General features: G+C 38.1%; 1 long non-coding RNA gene across 3 annotated transcripts in view, besides 3 other annotated features; it reads left to right on the forward strand.

Annotated features, from left to right (window-relative positions):
• Nucleotides 1-21191, forward strand: part of LOC105377547 (uncharacterized) — a 43658-nt gene that overhangs the window by 10837 nt on the left and 11630 nt on the right. The gene's annotated exons all lie outside the window — the stretch shown is intronic.
• Nucleotides 9782-10340: an enhancer, noted in NCBI's record as "NANOG hESC enhancer chr4:175296498-175297056 (GRCh37/hg19 assembly coordinates)". NCBI's record gives its function as "activates a minimal SCP1, AML or CMV promoter by ChIP-STARR-seq in naive H9 embryonic stem cells {active_cell/tissue: H9 hESC(naive)}" and the evidence as "EXISTENCE:reporter gene assay evidence [ECO:0000049][PMID:30033119]".
• Nucleotides 17009-17656: an enhancer, noted in NCBI's record as "NANOG-H3K27ac hESC enhancer chr4:175303725-175304372 (GRCh37/hg19 assembly coordinates)". NCBI's record gives its function as "activates a minimal SCP1, AML or CMV promoter by ChIP-STARR-seq in naive H9 embryonic stem cells {active_cell/tissue: H9 hESC(naive)}" and the evidence as "EXISTENCE:reporter gene assay evidence [ECO:0000049][PMID:30033119]".
• Nucleotides 17657-18303: an enhancer, noted in NCBI's record as "NANOG-H3K27ac hESC enhancer chr4:175304373-175305019 (GRCh37/hg19 assembly coordinates)". NCBI's record gives its function as "activates a minimal SCP1, AML or CMV promoter by ChIP-STARR-seq in naive H9 embryonic stem cells {active_cell/tissue: H9 hESC(naive)}" and the evidence as "EXISTENCE:reporter gene assay evidence [ECO:0000049][PMID:30033119]".

Genomic DNA, 21191 nt, shown 5'->3' on the forward strand with positions numbered 1-21191 from the left:
TTTACTGGCTTTCAGAAATTCTAAACAACCCCTTTATTTTTCTGTTTCCTCTCACTAATAATTAATTACACAAAATTCAACTAGTCTTCATTTCTTATTTGGAAAATAGTTTTCCTCTTTTAAATGTATATTAAAATGTCAGAATATGAGGAGAATGATAGATTCTCCTCTATAGGAGACAGAATATATCACATTTTGAAATGTGATGAGTAGATACATTTTGAAATGTGATATCACATTTCAAAATATTAATGTCTTTTTATCTTGACAAAACTGAGAGAAAACCTCTATACAACCTGTTGCATTTTTCATAAAGTTTACTTGCCAGGAGCAAATTGAGACATTGACTTTAATAGCAAGTTTGATGAGATCCTATGCTTTTCTTCACAGCTTAACCTCATTAATGCATCTCATTCTAAATATATATTATCATCAAGGATGAGGCATTTATTTGCATATGTTACTGTTCTTTTGTGTCATCCTAATGTCATATAAAATAAAACAATGGATATTAGGTCTGGCACTACCCAGGTAGAAGAGTCACATTCAAAACTTCTGCTGAATATTCATAATAGTATTGTCAAACCAGATTTCCATGTGAATCAGGCATCAAAACAATTTACAACCAAAAGGTCCAGTATTTAGTCTGTCTTCTCAACCTTATGGCTGCAGGACAGTGAGGATGGAGCAGAATGTCTGTAATGAGACAACTACAGTGAGGTTGGGATAATAATTCATCATATCATTGTGTGATTTGAGTGTGATGATGCCGTGAAAATGCTTAGCACTGTTCCTGGGTGACAAGAGCAAAACTCTGTCTCAAAAAAAAAGAAAAAAAAAAGAAAGAAAAAAACAAAAGCTATGCCCTGATCACCTTGGGTATATGTCATCAGGACGTCCTGAGGCTGCGTTATGGGCATGAATCCTCAACCTTGGAAAAATAAACTTTCTAAATTAACTGAGACCTGTCTCAGATATTTGGGGTTCACATTTGGGTGACCACAAAGGGATTCTGCATGGAGATGCCCCTGACCTTTGACAAATCTCCTATTGGTGTTTGGTACCAGCTTGAGCTATCTTTATGGCTCAAACCAACAGAACAATTTGCTGAGGCCTGGAAGAACCCCTCCAGAGAATCCCTGATCTCCTAAAATTTGGTCAAGATCTAAAGTTTAGTTTGCTATACAACTGTTTTGGAGTTTTACTTGCTTCCAACCCAAGAAAGGCAAGTTTTTTCTGCTTCCATGATGATGGAAGGCAGGTAACTCCTTTATGGAGTTTGAACTCACTTCCAACAGGTAAGATGAATTTGAAATTTATCCTGTTTCTAGGATAGTAGAGAGCAGTCTTTAGCATGAGACATATTCCTAGGTAAGTAACTGAATTGGGAATTTTCTTGGCCAAAGTGAAGATTAACAACCAGCTGGTCTTAATTTCTCCTTACCATTAGAGCGCTCAGTAATCATGTAAGTTGTGCCGTCATTTGTTTTGCTTAACAGTTTTTTTGTTGTTGTTGGGTCTTTTCCCCGTTGGGTTTGATTAACTCTATCTGACTTGATCAAATCTGAAGGAAAGTTCCAAACTATCCAAAAGCAAATTACAAATTATAACAAACTATCCAAAAGCAAATTATAAATTGTCTTTTTCTGACCTAATTAATACTTTAAGATATTAAGTTCCCTAAAGTCCAAAAATGACATAATTTGGCTTATTTGCTATAAATATTATATAGGAAGCATTGTTAAATATGAAATGGTGTTTGGTTTTCTTTGGGCTGTATTGGTATAAATATGTTATTGGTATATGTTACAAAATTTTGGGAAACTCCTATAATTCTGATATTACTTAGTGTACATTATCAGTAATAATAATTGCTATGTTAAATTATTCTGTGCCACAAAGGTAACAAATTTCCTTGTCAATTGTGTGTTTTGACTAAGGCTGCCCTAAACTTTTTGTCATCTATGGACAATTGTTGTCTTGTTTTTGTCCTCTTTAGAAGATGGCTGTATAATCAGCTATAAAACCTGACAGGTACTCTTGAATGCAGGTTTCTGATAACTTTGGAGACTGATATCAGAATAGAGAAAAAACTTTCAGGACTCATGGAGAGCCAAAATGTTCATAAATATCAAGCAGAACAGGAATTAACTGCATGGACTGACTAAAGTAATCGTTTTTACTTTTTTCTTAAAATGTTACTGGTTCTTTGTTTTATTTCTCAAAGAAACATTTCTTTTGAGCTATTGGCAGCTTTTAACAATTAAGTATACTCCTATGAACAAAATTTGGAGCATATTTGTTTGTCTCCACCTGATTTCTCCAGAATTTGGAAACTATTCATGAGTATTCTTAATATATGTCAATATAGTTATTTGCATGAGTGCAAGAAGAATCTGTTTTCATTTGTAACAGGATACAATTAGAGAAACTGGTTATTTTACCAAGGCCTTGACTGGAATGGAGTGCTTTCCTTTAAGGAAAAAACTTCACTTATACAGCCAATAAAAGCCCCTTGGGAAAACTGGCCTCATATTTTGTCTACGCCATCCCTGTACAGAATTCTTGACCTGTGGTAAGTAAAGAATGTCACTTTCTGACAGACCCAGCAGCCCTGAGTTATCTTGGGACCTCAAGAGGAGAAGGATTCACCCAATTCATAGATATTTGATGGTACACATCCATAGCTGGACTTAGCTTTAAAAAAATCTTATCTGAGATTCCTTCTATAGAACAAACTTCCATCAAAGCCATTTATTTATTTACTTACTTATTTATTTATTTATTTTTTGAGATGGAGTTTCACCCTTGTCACCCAGGCTGGAATGCAATGAAGCAATCTTGGCTCACTGCAACCTCCGCCTCCTGGATTCAAGCAATTCTCCTGCCTCAGCCTCCCAAGTAGCTGGAACTACAGGTGCCCACCACCACGCCCAGCTAATTTTTGTATTTTTAGTAGAGACAGGGTTTCACCATATTGGCCAGGCTGGTCTTAAACTCCTGATCTCAGATGATCTGCCCACCTCAGCCTCCCAAAGTGCTGGGATTACAAGCGTGAGCCACTGTGCCCCTCCCATCAAAGTTAATTTAAATGCCTATATGAAAAATAATTATTCTTGCTGTACTTTATACAAATAATCTGGCCAGGCATAATGAAGCAAATGGTTTCTACCATGATTTGTCTTTAGTAAACCTGGGAAACTGCAGAGAGAAAAATTAGGTTTCAAAAACTATAGTACACCTGTTGTTAGATTCTAGTCTTGCCTAATGTTTTTCAATTTTTACTATTTTCTACAATTTGGACTGAATTCTAATTTTTCCTGACTTCAAGTCTCCAAAGCAATGTTTTCAATTTTTCTTCTTTTTCTTTTCCCCTGCATTTTTGCTGATTAGTAGTCACCAAGAATGTAGTTATGCTTTCTTAAAGCCCCACGAACTGAATCTAGACAACTTAATCTTCAGAAGAAAATAACAGCAATCTATTTACCTACATAAGCCACTTTCCTACCTCCCTACTAATGTATGGACTTCCAAGGAGTGTGGACTATATGGATTCTCCAGGATTCTTTGTTTGTTGTTATTTTTCTCTTTTCCTCTCCCTATTTTCTCTTCATAGGACATGCAACTTCTCAACCTTCTAAAAATGGGGTTTCCTAACAGCTTGGGGCCTACCTATCTAGGAATAAACCATTCTAGCCATGAGAGATCAGACAAAACCTGACACCAGAGACTCATTTTCTTTTAAAATGCTTTCCCTAAAACATTTTTAAAAGGAAAGGAGGGGGAAAATGTGAGAGGAAAAGAAATCTTGGGGCGCCAAAAGTCACTAAGCTAAAGGGAAAAGTCAAGCTGGGAACTGCTTAGGATAATTCTGTTTCTCTCCTCACTGAGATAAAATACATATGTGATTGCCTCCTTTGTAAAGGCTAATCAGAAACTCAAAAGAATGCAACAGTTTGTCTCTTACCTACCTGTGACTTGGAAGCCCCCTTTCTGCTAGAGTTGTCCCGCCTTTCCAGACGGAACCAGTGTATGTCTTACATATATTGCTTGATGTCTCACATCTCCCTAAAATGTGTAAAATCAAGATGTGCCCCAACCACCTTGGGCACATGTCATCAGAACCTGCTGAGGCTGTGTCATGGTCACACACCCTCAATCTTGGCAAAATAAGCTTTCTAAATTAACTGAGACCTGTCTCAGATATTCAGCTTCACATATTCATCTCATCTTGGCCCCCTCAGCAAAGTGGCAAGAGGTAGACAATCCGTTTTTATTAATGACAACATTAAAGCAGAGAATATACTGTAGGAGACTGTCTCCAATACTTTCCAGAAGTGTTGTGCCACACCAAAATCAGTGGCATTTACTTTTGTGAGCAGATAATTTATCTGTGCTACCGACTTCACAACTGAGTGGAATTAAAGTAAGGTAGCAGAAAAAAAAATACTAAATCATTTTAATTACGAGTTCATGGTTACCAATGTGCTAGGCACTATAAAATGATTTTGTCAGCAAACCTTTGCAACCCTATGATGCAAATTTGTTTTTACACATGAGGAAACTGGGTTCAGCAAGGTGAGATGACTTAGGTCACACAGCTTGGAGCAAGTGGAACAAGATTTTAAGCCCTGATATGTTTGCCTCAAGGCTTAGCTGTTTCCACTGTGAATACTGCTCTTTAAATTAGGGCGTGAACTCAACTGAAAATCTCATTCTAACCCAGAGATATGAACCCACTAATAATCATCCCCAAAGCCATTCCTTATTTGCTGTTTTCTAGGGTGTGGAAACCTTGGCATTTCAGGATCCAGTCTCTGTTTGGGAAGCAATATAGTCTTAGAGTTAGGCGTATCTGCTAGATATAAAATGCAAAAGCCATGTAGCTTATTTATGTCTCAATTTCTTTATTGCTACATTATTAAATTTGTATACTAATATTTACTAGGTTGCAGAAGGGATCAAATGGGAAAATTTATCTAAAGTACTTACCATAGTACTTGTCACGAAGTAACTTATTGTCTCTTATGTAGTGCATGGTTTTTGAGGCATATGTTGCTAAATTACTCATTATTGGCCAGCACCTGGGTCCAAGTTATCTGGGGCTTTGCCATTCGGAGTGTGATCAGAGGAACAGCAGCACTGGCCTCATCTAGGAGCTGGTTAGATCACAGAATATCAATCACAGTTTCTGACCTACGCCTATTGAACAGAGACCTGCAATGTAACAAGATCCTCCAAAGATTTTTTTATGTACATGAGATTTTGAGAAGCACTTAAACATAGGGTATTTTCTCATTCTTATTGGCCTCTATAATAGGTAAGTCAGCTTACTTCCTCCCTTTCTATCCATCGTATTATCCCTCTATGTCTCAATACACGTACACATACATACAGGCACATACATATATCTATATATGTGTTTGTATGTGAATTTATATGTATATTCATTATATGTATGCTTTGTGTCAGGCAGTATGATGAAAACTTAGGTTTGTTAGTGAACAAGAAAGTCTTTGCTCTCCTAGAATTTGAAATCACTGGAGGACAAGCACCATGATCAAAAGGGGAATCTCTCTGAGGGCCGAAGGTTGAACCAGGAATAGGTAGCAGGGGGATTCGCAAGAAAGAAGGTAGACATCCCACCTGAAATTCATGAATTGGTCTTTCCATGTAGCCAGTGGTAAGGTCTGATGAGCAGTCTCAGCCTCATGACGTTAAAAATGTATTTCCATGGGCTTGGGGAATCCTGTGAATCCACAGGTTGTCAGTTGAATCAGCTCATAAAATAATTCTTGAGGCATCTTGGTCTAGATTAAATTCACTTTGGTGTGAGCTCAAGGGAGCCTCTAATTGTTCCACTGGAGGATTCAGTTTATAGCCTCTCCTCCTAAACTATACTAGGTGAATGGAATTAAGAATTCTTAAAGTGAAGCTTGTTAGTTAAAGCTTATTTATTACCATGCTTTGTAATCATACAGATTACTATTATCATCATATAATATATTACAACTATATGGTAATATCGATAATTATTCATTAGGTACTAGTAGATTATTATTCAATTGATAGTCAATAATATGTTATAATCATGTAATTATAATTTACAATATATTATTCATGCATCATAATCAGAAGATTTGTGAATGGTTTTGATTTTCTATTTCAAGATATAATAAAGTTTAAAGCTTGAGCTTTCCTCACAGATGTGATTCCTGGGTTGATTGTTTCTGTATTTTGTAGCCCGATCTCTCATCTGAGAAGTTATTTACCAAGAGGTCAGTACATAAATGAGTTCCATAAAGTCCTCCAAACTGAACAGCACTTTGTCTCATATTGCATTGATACATAGAGTTTTGGCATTTTTAAAACCTCTGATATCAGAGAAATAAGGAAGCCAATTTGCTAACCTAAGAAAAGTAACCTTTTTTGGTGGGCTGAGGAAGTTAAGGAAGCTGTCTTTGGCTCTTCCTGGGTGTATTGACTGATTTACATGCTTGCATTTACTTTTAAATTGTGTGGATATTGAAGTCTTCTCTCTCTTTACAGCTATGTTTTATTCACAGCAAAGCATAAGGACCATTTTATGGTCCCAATACACCCCTCAAAAAAAAAAATTTTGAGGGGTGTATTGATTGGTGAGCATTTGCTTTCCAGTATACAGGAATCCTATCTGGACACCATACCACCACATGGGAGAAGTTCTTTCATAAGCTTATGAGATAGGTACTGTCATTATTACTATTTTTCTAAGGGCGGAAACTAAAGCTCAATAGTATTTATCACTTGAGCTTGTGAAGAAATGTTTTACCCAAAAGAGGCTGCATAGGCCAAACACTTAAATACATCCAATAAATATTCACCTAGATTAATTAATTGATCTTTACCCAGTCTGAAGGTGGTGATAGGATAGCCCAGTTTTCTTTGGGACTATTTTATCTCACCACATTTTTTTTTCAGCTACACATATTCTTAGCTATGTTTTGTCTGAATTAGTATGGAATTAAAATTTTTTTTCATTTTTTTACAGCAGCTTTATTGTGATATTACTTCCATACCACACAATTCACTCATTTAAAGTATGAACTTCAAGATTTTTAAATGTATCATTCCATTTATTTTATTTTATTAATTAATTTTTAAATTGTATAACTGACACATAATAATTGCACATGTTCATGGGGTACAATGTGATGTTTTAATATATAATGACCAAATCAGGGTAATGACCTTATCTATCACTTAAGACATTGATCAGTTCCTTGTGGTGATAATATTTAGAATCTTCTCTTCTAGCTATCTTGAAGTATGTACTACCTTGTTATTTGCTATGGTCACTCTATTGTGTGATAGAACACCAGGACTTATTCTTCTGGTCTCACTGTAGCTGGCATTATCAATTTTTAAGGAATCCTCTTCTAATTTAATTTAGTCCCTGGATATGGAATATGGTTTATTTTTGTTTTTATTTTGATATAATTTATTTTGTCTTTTTATCACTTTACTAAAAGATTACCCGCTTGCTAGCTATGTAAACCTGGGTGGGTTACTTACTAGCTCTGGGTCTCAATTTTCTCATGTAAAAATGGGGTAAATAACAATAATACATACATCATAGGGTTGTTATAATAAATAATCAGGTAATTTTTTAAAAGTTACTATAACAGTGCTTGGCACATAATAAGAGCTATGTGTTTGCCAAGAAAAAATTAAAGAGAGATAATATGTCCAGAAAATTAGCTTAATTATTTTCTAGATAGTTTCTAATTAACTTTCTTTAATTGTGAGAAATTGAAATAGCGAGGCACAGTGGCTCACACCTATAATCCCGGCACTTTGGGAGGCCGAGGTGGGCAGATAGCTTCAGACCAGAAGTTTGAGACTAGCCTGGACAACATGGTGAACCTACCCCCCCTCACCACATCTCTACCAAATAATACAAAAGTTAGCCAGGTGTGATCAAACCTGTAGTGCCAGCTACTTAGGAGGCTAAGGTGAGAGGATTACTCGAGTGCCAGAGGTTGAGGCTGCAGTGAACTGAGATTGCACCACTGCTCTCCAGCCTGGGCAACAGAGTGAGATCCTGTCAAAAAAAAAAAAAAGAGAGAAATTGAAAAATTGAAATACAAAATGCTGGCCCCTCAGTAGAAAAATCAACATTTTGTTTTTAGAACTATTTTCAAGGGGTTATTGGGAGGGTGCCATAGGGCCATAGCCCTTCCCTTCTAGGCTGTAATTCTCCAACACGGGTGTCAGTTATTGAGTGGCTGGCAGCATAACAGGGAATCTTCCAGAAAGTTGGTGACTGATAAATATTGTCTGAATTAATGAGGATTTAACTCATTCTTTCTCAGTAATTCTCCTGCAATTCTCAGCTTGGTCAAACACCCCCTCTTCCAGACGTCCCTTGTTAGTCCAGATCCTTGTGACCACAGCAGTCAACCACAAAGTCACTGTGGTGGGAGAATTCTGACATAACTAGGAGTGCCTGGAAGAGGCAGAGGTTGATAGATGGTAACTTCCAGAAACCATACCACCAACTTCTCCATCTTCCAGTTAAGTAATTTGAAATAAATTTTTGAAAATGGGATGACTTCAGTATCCTGTTTGTATTTTCATAAAGAAGCACATCAAAGTATCTCATGCAAAATAATAATGATAGGATAATCCTTGGAATTTTAAACCATTTTGTCCAAAGAGTAGGGTTTTTTTTTAAGATTTCTCTAGAGAAATTCAATATTTAAAAAACATTGTTCAGCACATATGCTTGTTGAACAATCAGCAAAATAAAATAATATGTTGTCCACATTCAAAGCATTTTTGAAAGTTGTAGATAAGTATTTTTTAAATATTGCCATTGTTTTAAAAAATATTTGTTGATGTCCTGGTTCTTAGGGAGATATGCACTTAGCATATGAGTGTTCATGAATTTTAGTGTCATTATTGTTATTGCTATTATTACTGGTATTCTCATCTTTAATACTCTGCATTCCTCACCCTTCTACTTCTTACCATTATCCTTTTAGGTCCAATTGCAATCTTCCGTGGCTTGCTCCAAGCCTGGGTTTGGACTCATGCTGCTCCCTACACCCCCAAGTCCAGCAAGGGTTTTCTGTTGGAATTTACTTCCAGAAACCAAGTTTAAATCTTTTTCATCACTTCCTCTAACCAGTAGCTAAATGGGATCAGCAAAACTAACCCAACAGCCACTCTGCACACACTTTAACCTCCAATGAAGTTATGGCAGCTGGGTCTCCAGCATTGTGTCTAAGAGAGTCATGGGGGGAAGATGAAGAGAAGATGGGAAGAACGAAGTAGGTAGAAAGTTGATAAAGTTATGAAAGAAAGCAGAGTAAAGGTGGGCAAATGAATATGAGAAGGGATCTGTTCCCTACTGAAACTTAGGTCAGTGGTGGAGAAAAATATATGGAAAGGTGCAAGGGCCTAGTGAAGTAAACATGAGCACAGTCTCTTTTCTCCTAAGAGTCTTTCAGTTTTCCTTTCATTACATATTTTTCTTTTTGAAAATGACATCTCAGAAAATTGTCTTTTTTTTTTTCCCACGATGTCCTTGTTAGGTCTCTAGGATATGATACTAATATAAGAAAACCTATATAGTAAGATGTATTATGAGACCAAAGAAACCTAGTGGGTTATGTATTTCCTTTTGACTATTAGCTGTTGTGGCTGCACTCTGTGATGAAAATAGATCACATTGTGGAAAACACAGGATCATGGCAATATTAAAATGTTGCCTTTTTTTTTTTTTTGAGATAAAGTCTTGCTCTTGTCGCCCAGGCTGGAGTGCAGTGGTGCGATCTAGGCTCACTGCCACCTCTGCCTCCCAGATTCAAGTAATTCTCCTGTCTCAGCTTCCCGAGTAGCTGGGATTACAAGTGCCTGCCACAATGCCTGGCTAATTTTTCCATTTTTAGTGGAGATGGGGTTTCACCACGTTGGCCATGCTGGTCCTGAACTCCTGACCTCAGGTGTTCCGCCCCCCTTGGCCTCCCAAAGTGCTGGGATTACAGGCATGAGTCACCGCGCCCAGCCTGTTTTTAAAAATGTTGTTGATGTCCTGGATTCTTATGGAGATAAGCACTTAGCATATGAGTGTTCATGGGGTAAAGTATATTTGCTCTTAGTGCCTGTATTCGCTTGCTAGGGCTGCCTTAACAAGATACTACAGATTGGATGGGTTAAACAATGGTAAATTTTTGTGTCGGAGGTCCAGAGTCTGGATGTCTGAGACGAAGGTGTCGGCAAGGTTGGTTCCTTCTGAAGATTTTGGAGAATCTTCCATGCCTTTCTCCTAGCTTCTGGTGGTTTGCCCACAATCTTTGGCTTGTAGAAGCATCACCCCATGTCTGCCTTCATCTTCATATGGCATTCTCCCTGCATGTGTGTCTGTGTCCACATTTCCACTTTTTGTAATAACACTGGGCATATTGAAAGAGGGGCCTACTCTCCTCCACTGTGATTTCATCTTAAGTAATTAAATCTGCAATCACACTATTTCCAAATAAGGTCACATTCTGAGGTACTGGGAGTTAGGACTTTAACATGAATTTTAAGGGGACACAATTGAATCCATAGCAGTGCCAGTTCAGGAAAATTTAACTTAATTTACTGTTCTTGGAAACCTATCATTTAGGTTGAGGGTTCTTTCTTAGATAGGACTTCTTAATGAATAACGTAAAAATTTTTAATTAACAAAGTACCGTTTCCAAGCTACCTACATAGAAATTTTCACATGTATCTCACATGGAAAAACCTACCTATATGAAGTGGAAGTCGTCATCCAAGTAAATTTGTAAAGAGTGAAGAGGGCACAGGTGAACACAGGAGTCCAAGTTGTTCCTCCCATAGGTCAGTCCTAAAATCAAGAAGTCATCTTTCAGTGTCAATGTCAGGTCCAAGTTGCCTGAAGAAATCCTAATGGTTTGTTTTTCTTTTTCCAAGATAATTACTGTCTGGGCTAATGGTCTGTTTTTGATAGACTATTTCTATCTTGACTGGATAAATTCTTTCCAAGTCTCTCTTCACCCCTTCTCCTATTGGTTAAAGGAAATCCTTTGTGAAGCTTGTCTCCAATCTCTAGATATGGGGTCTGGTAACAGAGAATCTATTCATTCTTTTCTGTGCACTTTGTCTTTAAGGAGCAGGGGAGGCTGGGGAGAGGTAATTCCATTTCTGTTTCATCTCTAGAATACATACACACACCCTATGAAAACACTTAGTCCTAACCAAATGTACTCCACACCTATCACCCTCTCCCTACCCCCGACACGTGTATACACACATGCACACACACACAAGCTCTCTCTTCATGTGTTGTGGGAAACTTTTAGGGGCAGTTGCACATGGAATCTTCTTAAAACTCCCTGAGCAGTTTGAGGCTATTGTATTATACTTGAAAATGAAGAGTATCTTATTTTTAACATTGAACTGTTAATGCACGCAGGGAATTGGGAAGAAATGTGAGTCTGACTAATAGTTGATTAGAGAAAACGCCATAGGGTTAACTGGAGTACAAACAGCAAGAGAATCATGAAGTGATTTTATTTGGAGTTTTTGAAACTTTCAAATTTGTGTTTTAGATTCTGGTAGGAAAATATACAAGCTGTTTCTCCTCCCCTACAGAAACCTGGTATCAGAAATAAGTCAAAATTTTAGACATATCTTTTTCCATTTACTAAAATTCTTATGGAATAAGTACTTCCAATTATCCAAGGAGGAATTTTGAATATTATGCATGCGTGCTTGCATGATTGAGAGAGAATTTTTGCATCTATTTTTTGTAAAAATACAAAATACATGTATTTATAGAAGGGAAAGTTCAAAAAGTAAGATAAGGTAAAGTGTGATTCTTTATTTTGAGCGTATTTTAGATTTTTTCTTTCAAAATCATGAATTTAAAAGAAAATAGTATTTGTCCAAATATTTCAAGATTCCTTTCAATAACTACCATCAAGACACTATTCTTTTCTTATGAGACCTTGCCCCTGGTTTCTGTGGCACCATGAGAGTGATTCAATAGGAGCAAATGAACAGTTACACACAAACACACACCCAGGCACACTTAAATGTTGGCATTCCTCTTTCCAAGTCTCACATCCTTAAAGACAGAGTTAATGTTTGTGCTAAAGATAGTGGTGTTCACTGAACATTCCATTGCTGTCCATATTTCTCAACCTCCTTGCAATCATGCAGGACCTTGTGATTCGTTTTGGTCAATGGTTGTGGGTGGAAATGATGTGTAATGTTTGCCATTTTAACATAGCGGATGTGTAATGTTTGCCATTTTAACATAGCAGCCTACTCAGCTAATACAAAGGTTTTACACAGCATAAACCACAACACACTTTAATTGTTCAAATATCCACAATTTTATCTTCCTGGTGTGAAAAAGATCTAAAAGGTATATTCTGATGGTCATGGACTCTCAGTCTTGGGTCATCTTTCTAGCTGGGGAAGAGGAGGAGGCTGACACATCTTTCTAGCTGGGAGGTCTATAATTTTTTAAAAGACAGACAAATTAGAGCAACTGGCCCCATCGTAAGAGGATGAGGTGGCCACTTGAATAGAATTTTAGGGTGCTAACCGATGCCTTTTTCACTTAGAGCACACTAGGGCTACACAGAACATTAATTAGCTTAATTTAAACACACTTTTAAACTTCCAATTCACGTGTTTAACATTGAAATGTTTAAGCATTTGAATCCTGCTACATTTTAAAGATTCAACACTGGCAGCTGTTGCATTATCTCAAAAGAAAATGCACCTTAATATCAATTCAGCTTGTTCCATTTGAATATGCAACTCGTGATAATAAAACATTTAAATATTCCCTTCAAATATTAATGTTTGACAATTACTGGGCCTACTAAAATTATCTTCCAAGAAAGAAATTGCTCAAAGAAACAGTATAAGAGGAAGAAACTGGCCCTACCTCATATTGCTGCAGGACAGCTCACCTTCCTCTCTGTACTGTGATGTTTCCAAGATTGCAGCTTCTATGACACTCAATAATTAGGAATATAATCAGTCATTTTCACTGCTGTAAATAGTGCATGGTAGAGTCCCCACCAGCATCTGAGGTCCCAATTAAAATCAAAGGAGGAAGAGAGGATCTACTACTTGAAAGTATCCCACTGATATATTTAAAAAAAATTTTTTTTAATAGTTTTGTTCCAGCCATACCAGCTGGAAGTAATTTCCTTTTAACTATTAAATAGAATTTTCTCTTTTGGCATTCTGTAACACTTGCATTTATCTCCAGCTTAGTTAATTGTAGCAAACGTTTCTAATATTTCAGAAAACTCCAAGTGCAAATCATTAATATAGGAACATAAAAGACATTTAATACCATTAATCCTTTCCCACAATTTAAAAAGATTAAATTTAAATTAAAATTTAAATATAGGATTAAATAGGATTAAAGATTAGGGCTATCTGCTTCAGAACCAAAGGTATAATTCTATATATCCCTTGGGTACTGCAGCTAAAGAAATGCAAAAACTTTGTGTTTTCTTCACTAAAGGAGCTATTGAGAGGGGAAACCTGTTAGTTCTCTGCATCCAAAAGGCTGACTACATTTATGTTTTTATATGTACAGATGTTCCTAGTTTGAAATATCAAGACTCATAGAGTTGAGCTGACAAATTTTAAACTGTCTGCAATTTTGGATTTACAAGCACTACGCAAGGCACTAGACAATAGTGAAGAAAACTGTACGTGAGTTGTGTCACCATGGTGCTTGGAATAGTGATGGAGACAGAGATTACACAAATAATGTAAAATTGTATTTGTGATAAGGACAGTAAATGAATGGTATTTGGAGCCATAACATCATTTAGCCAAGGGATGTGATATATTACTTGCAGACCAAGCAAACTTTCCTTGAGAGAGTGATGATAGGATGAAATCTGAAGGTTTACTTTCAGCAAATGAAGTGGGAGAGGAAGAGTGTTCCAGGCAAAGGCAACAGTATGTGTTAAGGACTTACGTTGAGATGATATGCAGACATTGCATTTTTAAGCTCTAGAAGTTTGATTTGAGTTCTTTTCCATTATCTTCCATGTCTTTGCATGCTCAAAGCTTCTTGAATATATGGCATGTATTTATACTAACTGATTTGATGTTCTTGTCTACTAAATCTGTGTTATTTCTAAGTCTGTTTTTATTGATTGATTTTTATCCTTATTATGGGCTATATATTCCTGCTTCTTTGTAACTATGGTAAGTTTTAATTATATGCTAGAAAATGTGAATTTTACCTTTTTGGGAGTTGAATATTTTTGTATTTCTATGCATATTCTTGAATTTTGTCCTAGGATGCTGTTAAATTACTTAGAAACAGTTTGCTTCTGTTTTTTGTTCTTAAGATTTGTTAAATGGGACCAGAGCAGCATTTAGTAGCCAATTTTGCCCTTTTAGTAAAGTAGTAATGTTTTTAGTATTCTATCCAATGCCCCTTGAATTAAGAGGGTTTCCTGTGGGGAAAAGAAAGAGAGATCAGAGTGTTACTGTGTCTATGTAGAAAGAAGTAGACATAAGAGACTCCATTTTGTTCTGTACTAAGAAAAATTATTCTGCCTTGAGATGCTGTTAATCTGTAACCCTACCCCCAACCCTGTGCTTGCAGAAACATGTTCTGTGTCGACTCAAGGTTTAATGGATTTAGGGCTATGCAGGATGTGCTTTGTTAAACAAATGCTTGAAGGCAGTATGCTTGTTAAAAGTCATCACCACCCCCTAATCTCAAGTACCCAGGGACACTAGGAAAGCCAGGTATTGTCCAAGGTTTCTCCCCATGTGATAATCTGAAATATGGCCTGGTGGGAAGGGAAAGACCTGACCATCCCCCAGCCCGCAGTAAAGGGTCTGTGCTGAGGAGGATTAGTAAAAGAGAAAGCCCTCTTTGCAGTTGAGATAGGAGGAAGGCATCTGTCTCCTGCTCGTCCCTGGGCAATGGAATGTCTTGGTGTAAAACCCGATTGCATGTTCCATCTACTGAGATAGGAGAAAACTGCCTTAGGGCTGGAGGTGAGACATGCTGGAGGCAATACTGCTCTTTAAGGCATTGAGATGTTTATGTATATGCACATCAAAAGTACAGCACTTTTTCTTTACCTTGTTTATGATGCAGTGACATTTGTTCATATGTTTTCCTGCTGACCCTCTCTCCACTGTTACCCTATTGTCCTGCCACATCCGCCTGTCCGAGAAACGCCCGATAATGATCAATACATACTGAGGGAACTCAGAGACTGTGCCGGCAGGGGTCCTCCGCATGCTGAGCACCCCTGGGCCGACTTTTCTTTCTCTGTACTTTGTCTCTGTGTCTCTTTCTTTTCTCAAGTCTCTGGTTCCACCTGATGAGAGAAGCCCACAGGTGTGGAGGGGCAGGCCACCCTTCAGTTTCCAATCTCACCGGTGGGCACATAAGCTATTCTCAGCTCTGGGTGAACCCTAAGGGTTGTTTCCCCTGCTGCTTGGGTGTTTCTTTTTCCAGCTTTGGATAATTTGCTCACATGCATATCCTGATCAATATTTGGCTGAATACTCAAGGGGGACCCTCTGCAGATCTCTGGGTTTTCTTTCTCTATAGTTCTCTCCTCTGCGGTAGTCTGCCATGTCCAACTAAATAACAAACAGACAGGGAGACTCTATAAAAGAAAATAGTATTTATTCAGGAGTAGCATTGCAATGGGAATATGCATAACATGTAAATTATGTGCATATTCCAAGAGGTTGAGGCAATGGGGAGTTTTTAAAGGCAAATGAGGAGGATTACCTATGTTTTCTTGTTTGTTGTTTTGTTTTTAAATCAATCATCCTTGGCTACAAAGATCAATAACAAGGGCAAATCAGTCCAAGGTTAAACAGAAAGTTGCTGGGCAGACGCCCTTGCAGAAGCATTTACTGGACAAGGTTGTGGTGACCTTTGTGCAAGGTTGTGGTTTTTGCAGTCTGTTTTGATAGTTTTGTTATCAGGCAAACATGCATGAGAGCCCTCCCTTCATGGCCTTCCTCAGGTCCATTTTGTCAGGGCATGACACAAGTAACTCCATTTTGATTCTGACAGCTTTGACAGCCTTGTGAACTCTTGCTTCCTTGGCCTCCTTGAACTCTCAGCTCCATCTCCTCAACTCAGGGAAGTCAATGGACTTCTCCTAGGTTCTTCATCTTTTTCTATTTTGTGCTGCTATAACAAAATACAAGAGACTGGGTAATTTATAAAGAAAAAATTAATTTTCTCACAGTTCTGGAAGCTGAAAAATCCAAGATCAAGGCACTAGCAGGTTTGGTTGTCTGGCGAGGGTTGCTCTCTGCTTCCAAGATAGTTCTTTGTTGCTGCATTTTCTGGAGGGGAGGAAAACTGTCTTCTCACATGTATGGTAGAAGGTGGAGGGGCAAGTGTGAAGCATCTTTTATAAGGGCCATAATCCCACTCTCAAGGGAGGAGCTCTCATGACCTAATTGCATGTTAAAAGCTCCACCTTTTAATACTCTCACATTGGCCAGTAAGTTTTAACACCTAAATTTTGGAGAGTACACATTCAAACCATTGCACCCACCCTGCACTGCAGCCTGCAAACTCTTTAGGCGGTGAGCTGATCCAACTGCAGGGCTCACATCGTTTGCTTTCCTTGTCTCAGGAATTGCAGTCCTGTGCTACCAGTATCTACAAGCCATTGTTTTATGTCTTGTCCATTTTTATGGTTGTTTCACATGGAAGGGTAAATTAAGTCCCTGTTATTCCATCATGGCAGGAAGTGGAAGTTTGAAAGACTGATAAAACACCTGTGTGGCTAGAATTACATGTTGCCAGATGAGACCAGAGGAGTAGACTGGCAGCAAGCAGATTTTCCAGTTTGAAAAATATTAATGTATCTTTTTCTCTTTGCCTTTTCATGTACACAATGTGTAGATGCTAGCATAAGGCACCTGTTTACTTGGAGCGGGGGATGTGACATAGAAGAGACACAGAAGCATCCTTATGTTATTATTATTATTATTATTATTATTATTATTATTATTATTATTTGAGACACAGTCTGATTCTGTCACCCAGGCTGGAGTGCAGTGGTGCAATCTCAGTTCATTGCAACCTCCACCTCCCAGGTTCAAGCAATTCTCTTGCCTCAGCCTCCCGAGTAGCTGGGACTACGCGTGCCCGCCACCACGCCTGGTAATTTTTGTATTTTTAGTAGAGATGGGGTTTCACCATGTTGTCCAGGTTGGTCTTGAACTCCTAACCTAAAGTGATCCACCCGCCTTGGCCTCCCAAAGTGCTGGGATTACAGGCGTGAGCCACCATGCTCAGCCTGCTATCTTGATATTGAGGGTACAAGGTGAACTGGGAGACCTGGAGAGCCTAGCATGGTGCAAAGAGGGCATGGTACCTGGGGATTTGGTGTGGTCAAGGCTAGCAGAAAGGAAAGGTGATGGGAAGAATGTGGGGAAAAGAAAGAGAGATCAGATTATTACTGTGTCTGTGTAGAAAGAAGTAGACATAAGAGACTCCATTTTGTTCTGTACTAAGAAAAATTCTTCTGCCTTGAGATGCTGTTAATCTGTAACTCTACCCCCAACCCTGTTCTCCCTGAGACATGTGCTGTGTCCACTCAGGGTTAAATGGATTAAGGGCTGTGCAGGATGTTCGTTGTTAAACAAATGCTTGAAGGCAGCATGCTTGTTAAGAGTCATCACCACTCCCTAATCTCAAGTACCCAGAGACACAAAACACTGCGGAAGGCCACAGGGACCTCTGCCGAGGAAAGCCAGGTATTGTCCAAGGTTTCTCCCCATGTGATAGTCTGAAATATGGCCTCGTGGGAAGGGAAACACCTGACTGTCCCCCAGCCTGACACCAGTAAAGGGTCTGTGCTGAGGAGGGTTAGTAAAAGAGGAAGGAACGCCTCTTTGCAGTTGAGATAAGAGGAAGGCATCTGTCTCCTGCTCCTCCCTGGGCAATGGAATGTCTCGGTGTAAAGTCCAATTGTATATTCCATCTACTGAGATAGGGGAAAACTGCCTTAGGGCTGGAGGTGGGACATGCTGGCAGCAATACTGCTCTTTAAGGCATTGAGATGTTTATGTATATGCACATCAAAAGCACAGCACTTTTTTCTTTACCTTGTTTATGATGCAGAGACATTTGTTCACGTGTTTACCTGCTGATCTTCTCTCCACTATTATCCTATTGTCCTGCCACATCCCCCTCTCTGGGAAATGCCCGATAATGATCAATAAATAGTAAGGGAACTCAGAGGCCGGTGTCAGCGTGGGTCCTCCGTATGCTGAATGCTGGTCTCCTGGGCCCATTTTTCTTTCTCTATACTTTGCCTCTGCATCTGTTTATTTTCCAAGTCTCTCTTTCCACCTAATGAGAAACGCCCACAGGTGTGGAGGGGCAACCCATCCCTTCAGAAGAGTAGCACTTTATGATCACTACTGGGAGGGTCCCAGAACAACCACTTCATGCATAGGCCAGCCAGGACCCACAGAACTCTGGGGAGTTTCAAACAGTCTTATTTCTCCGTCCTCCAGCAGCATGAGATCTTGTGTTATCTTTACTTTTCTCATAAACTTCATTGTCACCTAGGAGGAAGGTTAAGAGAGGGGACAGAACTCTGATTTTGGATTTTCCTGGCTCATTTAAATAGCCTAAATTACTTAGAGACTGTTTAAAGGGGCATGCACCAAAATTTCTCCATCTTTTGACTTACCAGATTCTTTTTCCTCTGATACTTCTCAGAATGAGGTCTTTTAAGTAAATGAGGTCTTTTATGGTCTTTTAAGTAAATGAGGTCTTTTACTGATGAGGTCTTTGAAGACCAGAACAGTAAATAAAAAATAAAGGAGGTTTTTTATATTTTTATTTTATTTTATTTTTTACACATCTGAATGTTGTGTGAGTAAATCTGCAACCTCACCATAAAGTTAAGAATTTCTGTTTTAGGGCCAGGCACGGTGGCTCACGCCTGTAATCCCAGCACTTTGGGAGGCCGAGGCGGGCGGATCACGAGGTCAGGAGATGGAGACCATCCTGGCTAACATGGTGAAACCCCGTCTCTACTAAAAATACAAAAAATTAGCCAGGCGTGGCGGCGGGCGCCTGTAATCCCAGCTACTCTGGAGGCTGAGGTGAGAGAATGGCGTGAACCCGGGAGGCGGAGCTTGCAGTGAGCCGAGATGGTGCCACTGCACTCCGGCCTGGGCGACAGGGCGAGACTCCATATCTCAAAAAAAAAAAAAAAATTCTGTTTTAATAATGGAGAGTCAGTTATGTTTTTTAAGCATAGGTAGTTGGTATGAGGGACAGGATCATATTGGTGTTTTCAAAATTTCAAAGTTAATTTCAAAAGTTCACTCAGCCAAAGTAAGTGAACTATTAAAGCTTAGAGATCTTTCAGAGACTATTATAGTACCAAATGCCAAAACTGATTGAAAATACTCAGATTTTAAGAAAATATTTTATGATAATCTGTAGTATGTATTTATATAAATATTTATTTATTTGTATGTATTTTTGTATCTGTAGAGTTTACCACTATTCCAAGGCACCTAGATGACCATGCTACTAATATAATAATGTTAGAAGAAAGGCAAATCTAATTTTTATAAATGCTAACCCATTTTGAATTCAAACCACTATTTTTTAAAATTTCTCATCTCTTTTCAGTGGAAGAACCACCTAGTCCAAGAAATTTTAAAAAAAAATTACAATAGTTATTTTTACCACGTGTATCAAAGTGCATTGCCTAAGGCCATGTACTCTTTCAGGAAGTGAAAATCCATAAAAATAATTCTATACTAAGAGGTATGTCACCATTCTTTCTCAGGCCAGAGGCTCCATCCTTACCTTGGGCATTCCCAAGTGTCCAATCTGATTGTTAATAACTGTCACAATTTATGAAGTTCTTTGAATATGCCTTATCTGGATGGTTGGTAAATCAGAATAATAAGGATATTTGGCCCTTGAATTAATTAGTAGGTGCTTGATTTGACTAATCTCTTTTAGTCCCTACTTTAGCTGGTACTATCTTGTAAATCTTACTTATGGAAATGGCTGACACAAAGTTTTCTAGTAATTTTGCTTCTTGTTACCAAATGTATTAGTCCTGTCTTATGCTGCTAATAGAGACCTACCTGAGACTAGGTAATTTATAAAGGCAAGAGGTTTAATTGACTGACAGTTCGGCATGGCTGGGGAGGCCTCAGGAAACAAACAATCATGGCAGAAGGGGAAGCAAACACATCCTTCTTCATATGGCAGCAAGAAGGAGAAGTGCCAAGCAAAGTGAGAAAAGCCTCTTATAAAACCATCAGATCACATGAGAACTCACTACCATGAGGACAGCATGGGGGTAACCACCCCCATGATTCAATTACCTCCCACCAGGACCCTCCCATGACATGTGGGGATTATGGGAACTACAGTTCAAGAGGAAATTTGGGTGGGGACACAGCCAAATCGTATCACCAGTGATCCCTTTTCTCATGTACCTAATGCAGGAAGAAAATTGAGGTTTTACATTCTGAAGTGCTATTCCATCTTTAAAAATCGGAACTTTATTTCTGCTTGAATGTCCCATTCCATATTTTAATGTAAGGGGATTTGAATCAAGTAGATTTCTTTGTTTTATTTTTATTACACAGGCAATATATGAATATATGATTGTTCAGAAATAATTGAAAGATATAGATAAGTAAAATAGAATTAAAAAGTCACTTATACCAACAACAGCCAGGAAGTAATCACTGTTATCTTCATCTTATTGTATATTCTTCAGATTTCATATTATTGTTATTTGTAAACATAAAAAGACATCATGCTTCTTTGGTTTAGCAACATATTATTAACCTTCTTTGCCAGTAAATATTGTTTTAAAACATTATTTTAAAAGGATGTTCCATTATATGAATATGCCACACTTAATAAAGCCTTCATTTTTGGGTGTTCAAGTTCTTTTAATTTTTTATAAATATTGCAAACATAGCTACACAATTTAACAAAACACAGTTGCAAAAACAGGTAAATGTTTGCATATATCATGAACTGCTTTCTTCAAATTAATTGGGAAATGTGTAATGAATTCAGATGACTTAAAATTGACCCCTGTTGCCATTTTCCTAATCATGGAAAAGAGTAAAATATATAAGTTACCTTTCCACCCACA

The sequence above is a fragment of the Homo sapiens genome, chromosome 4 (assembly GCF_000001405.40).
Source record: "Homo sapiens chromosome 4, GRCh38.p14 Primary Assembly".
Taxonomy (NCBI): Eukaryota; Metazoa; Chordata; class Mammalia; order Primates; family Hominidae; genus Homo; species Homo sapiens.